Source organism: Homo sapiens, chromosome 7 (assembly GCF_000001405.40).
Source record: "Homo sapiens chromosome 7, GRCh38.p14 Primary Assembly".
Lineage (NCBI taxonomy): Eukaryota > Metazoa > Chordata > Mammalia > Primates > Hominidae > Homo > Homo sapiens.
This window is the reverse complement of record NC_000007.14, coordinates 157,053,132-157,058,526: the sequence shown is the minus strand read 5'-3', so window position 1 is coordinate 157,058,526 and position 5,395 is coordinate 157,053,132. Positions and strand designations below refer to the sequence as shown.

Genomic DNA, 5,395 nt, shown 5'->3' with positions numbered 1-5,395 from the left:
TGTAGACTTACCCTGGGCTTGCTCACACTTGACCCAGAAGCCTGAGATGTGGCATTTCTGAAGTGTCCAATTTATGAAGTTGAAAACTGGGGCAAGCTCATCTGTTTGTGCAATGTTGATTGCCAACGGTTAATCACCAAGGGTAAGTGGAAGAAATCATTCCTGTTCATTTGCAAATGGAAATCAAATGAGGACTGTGCCGAAATGCATCAGCATTTTCACTTCCAACTGCAAGGATTTCAGAAGACAGCTGACCTTGGGCTGCCTGGCAGGCACGGGCCTGGCGCCGATACTTCTGCTCAGAGTGCCTGTGCTTTTTGGTAAGGCTCAGGACGTTCCCTGCCATTCCTGCCCGTTTCAAAGGCAGACCCATTTAGTTTGGAAAGTAGGAAGCATTTTCAGATGCTGTGAATTCATGTGCACACACCACTGCCACTTCTTGCTTTTTTATGGCTCCGCAGAGACTTGGGATGCACTTCACCTTGCTGAAGGGGCTCAGCTAATTATGCTGAAATCCTTCCAAGAGGCGAAGTGATGTGTTTATACATCCTCCTTGCTGAACTGTTGGCCTCAAGAAATTTTATAATAATAAAGCATTTCCATGTTGGGTAGGTTCTCTCCCCTCCACCCCCGGAAAGTGCAATGTTTTCTGTTCATGGGCAGTTTGTTAATACTGCATTTTATGCCCTCATAGGTGCATGCATCAAGTCCTGAAGTAATAGCCCCACGTATCAGATGTGTAATGGATTTCTCTCCATGCTGCGGGATTCATTACCATGATTTATGGCTGTTTTAATGTACACAGCCTTCTTAAACAACTTAGAGTTGATTGTTCTGGAACTAGACTTGGGTCCAAGATAACTCTGGAGGGTTGCCATTGTTCAGGAAAGCTATCGGTGTCCCTGAGGAGGTAAACAACCTTGGATCAAAGGCTTGAGTTACCCCATGATCACTCTAGCGACTGAAGTGGAAGTGCCTTACCACGGGGAGGGGACCGCAAGAGTGCTCCCTCATGGGAAGTGAGTCCCTGCTGTGGCTTCGGTAGAGCGGCTCTTCCCCTGTAAGCCTAGCAGAGATGAGCGGGACTGCAGGGAGGGACAGCCACCCCAGCATAGATGAGCGGGACTGCAGGGAGGGACAGGTACCCCAGCAGAGATGAGCAGGACCACAGGGAGGGACAGGTACCCCAGCAGAGATGAGCAGGACCACAGGGAGGGACAGGTACCCCAGCAGAGATGAGCAGGACCACAGGGAGGGACAGGTACCCCAGCAGAGATGAGCAGGACCACAGGGAGGGACAGGACTGGGACCGCAGGGAGGGACAGGCACCCCAGCAGAGATGAGCGGGACCACAGGGAGAGACAGGAACCCCAGCAGAGATGAGTGGGACCACAGGGAGGGACAGGTACCCCAGCAGAGATGAGCAGGACCACAGGGAGGGACATGACTGGGACCGCAGGGAGGGACAGGCACCCCAGCAGAGATGAGCGGGACAACAGGGAAGGACAGGTACCCCAGCAGAGATGAGCAGGACCGCAGGGAGGGACAGGACTGGGACCTCAGGGGGGACAGGCACCCCAGCTGGCCTTCTTGAGTCTAGTCAAGGCACAGTCATGGTATTTCCCAGAAGAGGCCTTCGGAGACTGAGGGACAAGAGAGCTGGGCCTGAACCCTGCCCAAGGCCATCGTTGGACAGAACCAATCTGGGTTATTCGGTTCACAAAAATCCTCCCTTTTATTCAGAAACAACACTTGTGGTATTGTTTTTAGTATGTTAAGAATGGCTTTGATGCCTTGTCCAAGTATCAGGCCATGATTTCAACCTAAACCAAGTACCCACTTACAACTTGGACATTAGGACGGGTTCTTCCCAGAAGGGCAGGAGGCATGAACGGGGGATGACAGTACACTCTGCAGAGCTGGGGGAGGCGCTGGCACTCGGTTCTTTATAGACTCCTTTGTTCTATGTAAAACCACAGAGGGTGTCTACTGGAGGCCCAGCTAGCTAGGCCAGGGCTCCAACAAAGAAAGAAGTCTCCAGAAAGGAGTGGGAGGGGCACTGGGTGCTGAATAGGGGGAGGGTAACTTTCGGAAAGTCACTTTGGAGGAGGCAGAGGAGGAGTTCCTAGCGGCCAGTGTGAGACTGCACCCTCCTCCCCAAGAGGCCCCTACATTCCCGCAGAGGCAGGGATGGTGGCGGTGTCCCCTGGGAGGGCAGATGGCCCACCTGTGCCCAGGTGTGAGCTGTCATGGGAAGTAAATGGCTCCCGGATTGCCGAGGGCTCTCCGTCCACCCACTGGTGGATCTCTTGGTCTCTTGGTCAGCTGCCCTTTTTTTTTTTGTTTAAGACGGCGTCTCACTCTGTTGCCCAGGCTGGAATGCAGTGGTGCAATCTCAGCTCACTGCAACCTCCGCCTCCCGGGTTCAAGCCATTCTCCTGCCTCAGCCTCCTGAGCAGCTGGGACTACAGGCACATGATACCACGCCCGGCTAATTTTTGTATTTTTAGTAGAAACGGGGTTTTGCCATGTTGGCTAGGCTGGTCTTGAACTGCTGACCTCAAGTGATCTGCCCACCTTGGCCTCCCAAAGTGCTGGGAGTACAGGCATGAACCACTGTGCCTGGCCAGTCACCTGCCCTTTAATGTGCCAGCCACCTTGTTGTCCTGAGAGCCTATGGGATGGGATCCGAGTTCATTTAACCAAGAGGTGTTTAATTTTCATTTTTATTTATTTATTTATTTATTTTTGAGACGGAGTCTCGCTCTTGTCACCCAGGCTGGAGTGCAATGGCACGATCTAGGCTCACCACAACCTCTGCCTCCAGGGTTCAAGCGATTCTCCTGCCTCAGCCTCATGAGTAGCTGGGATTACAATGCGCCACCACGCTCAGCTAATTTTGTATTTTTAGTAGAGACGGGGTTTCTCCATGTTGGTCAGGCTGGTCTCGAACTCCTGACCTCAGGTGATCTGCCTGCCTCAACCTCCCAAAGTGCTGGGATTACAGGTGTGAGCCACCACACCCGGCTGAGGTGTTTAATTTTTAATATAGCATGGGACATAGCATATTTAGCAAAATGTGATATTTTCTTGCTTTTTTTCTGTGATTGTTTCACGGGCCCCTTGTCTTATGCCCCCAGTGAGACCATCAGGTAACAAACATGTATTTGGCAGCTGCTGTATACACTACCCCTGGCTGAATTCTCACAACAACCCAGGAGCTGCTTGGTATTTTTGTTGCCATTTTAGTGCTGAAAAAGCGGGCTGTTGAGAGGTTCTGTCACTTGTCTGTGGCCACATGGCTGGTAAGAGACAGCCCAGAGTTTCCATTTCCGTCTGTGTGCCCCTTTAGGACAGGCATGGGATCTCTCCCTGCAGGTGGGGCTGTGGGAGGGAAGCGGCCTCGCAGCCGTCCACTGACAGTGGCTGGAGCTCAGGCCCTGGGTTCACGTCCTGCCTGGGCCATACGCTGCTCTGCAGCCTCAGATCACCTGATCTCTCCATGCAGTCATTTCCTACTGTCTATGTTGGGAATGATGACAGTACCTATTTCCCACCTACACAACAGGGACGGTAACTGTGGCGTCTGCACCCTGCACTGAGTGATGCACGTGGAGACCCAGCACAGAGCCGGGCCTGGTGAGCCTGGATTCCTTGGGATTTCATGACAGTAGCTCTTTTATTTGGAAGTAAAGTGAAATCCCTGGAGGGGTAGCTCCTCTGAACTGGAGTTTAGACCCATAAAACACCCAGTGGTATTTTATGTAAATATATTTACATCACAACCTACCCTCTCCTAGAAACCTTTGCATCCTCTGTTGGCAGGGTCTGGGGGAGGGAAGTTCTGTGCAAACGTGCAGAGCTGAGGCTGAGGCTGTCTGTCCATGAAGCTGAGGAAACAAACCTGAGAGGGAAGACGTCGAAGGACCTCTGAAGAGACAGAAGGCCAGGCTTTTCTAGAACTAAGTCCTTTTCTTGAACTAAACCCTAGAACTAAACTAAATTGACTCCAGAGACCTACACGGCCCCTGTCTCATAAACACATGGAACACACAACCCACCAGCCATTTCCAAAAACCCAACATGTGAAAGAAGACCCAAGAGAAACAACAGAGCAGCTGATAACCAGGAGGACAGAACAAAACTTTTGAAAAATTCTCAGTATCCTCAGAGACGCTCAACAGAGTGGGTGGCTTCATTAAAGAAGGGTGAGTTCCTCAGAAAAGGAGAAATCAAAATTATCTTTAGAAATAAGTATATAATTGCTGAAATAAAAAACTCAATTGATACACTGAAGATTAAGTTGATACACTGGAAGATAAATGGGAAGGAATCTTCCCTCCAAATAGAGCAAAACAATGAAGAGACGGAAATTATCAGAGAAACATTAAGAAACCATAGAGGGCCGGGCGCGGTGGCTCACACCTGTAATCCCAGCACTTTGGGAGGCCAAGGCAGGCAAATCACCTGAGGTCAGGAGTTCAAGAGTAGCCTATCAACATGGTGAAACCCCATCTCTACTAAAAGTACAAAAATTAGTCAGACATGGTGGCACACACATGTAATCCCAGCTACTTTACTCAGGAGGCTGAGGCAGGAGAACTGCTTGAACCCGGGAGGTAGAGGTTGCTGTAAGCCAAGATCATGCCACTGCACTCCAGCCCGGGTGACAGAGCAAGACTCCATCTCAAACAAACAAACAAACAAACAAACAAAAACCCCACAGGGATTTGGTATCTATGTAATAGGAGTTACAGAAAAGAGACTACAGAAGGAAAGAAAATATCAAAGAAATAAAAGAAAACATGAAAGAAATAATAGAAGACAATTTCTCTGAGCAGAAGAAAGTCATATTATTGGATGACAAAGACCTAGAGAATACCAGCAGAATTAATTTAAAAAATGCTCTCAAACCTAGACACACTCTGATGAAATTTCAGAATTCCAAAAATTAAAAAACAAAAAATCCTAAGAGCTTCTGGGAGGAGAGGAGAAGGTACGTATAAAGTGACAAGACTCCTCAGATTGCTTCTTGGTGATAATATATAATAATACAATGAAACGAAGTGTCCAAAACTTAGAGGGAAAAGTTGCTGAACCTAGAATTCTATAGCACATGAACAAATGGCCACCTGTGAGGTCAAAAAAAGGATATCAACACGCCACACAAGACTTGAAAAAATTACTCAAGGTGGTGCTCCAGCAAAATGAAAAAGGAATTCACAAAGAGAAAAGCATGAAATACAGGATTCTGGGGCAACTAAATATCTGCCATAGTGGAATGATTGGAGGAACTATGGCCTTGATACATCATGGAAAACTAAGCAGCAGCTGAGAAGAATGCGACCAACAAGGAGAGACCAACACGGACATCGCTGAGTGCACAGGACAAGTT

At 49.0% G+C, this 5,395-nt stretch overlaps 2 annotated features.

The window, feature by feature from the left end:
- Positions 2,978–3,478: an enhancer, noted in NCBI's record as "H3K4me1 hESC enhancer chr7:156847743-156848243 (GRCh37/hg19 assembly coordinates)". NCBI's record gives its function as "activates a minimal SCP1, AML or CMV promoter by ChIP-STARR-seq in primed H9 embryonic stem cells {active_cell/tissue: H9 hESC(primed)}" and the evidence as "EXISTENCE:reporter gene assay evidence [ECO:0000049][PMID:30033119]".
- Positions 3,479–3,979: an enhancer, noted in NCBI's record as "H3K4me1 hESC enhancer chr7:156847242-156847742 (GRCh37/hg19 assembly coordinates)". NCBI's record gives its function as "activates a minimal SCP1, AML or CMV promoter by ChIP-STARR-seq in primed H9 embryonic stem cells {active_cell/tissue: H9 hESC(primed)}" and the evidence as "EXISTENCE:reporter gene assay evidence [ECO:0000049][PMID:30033119]".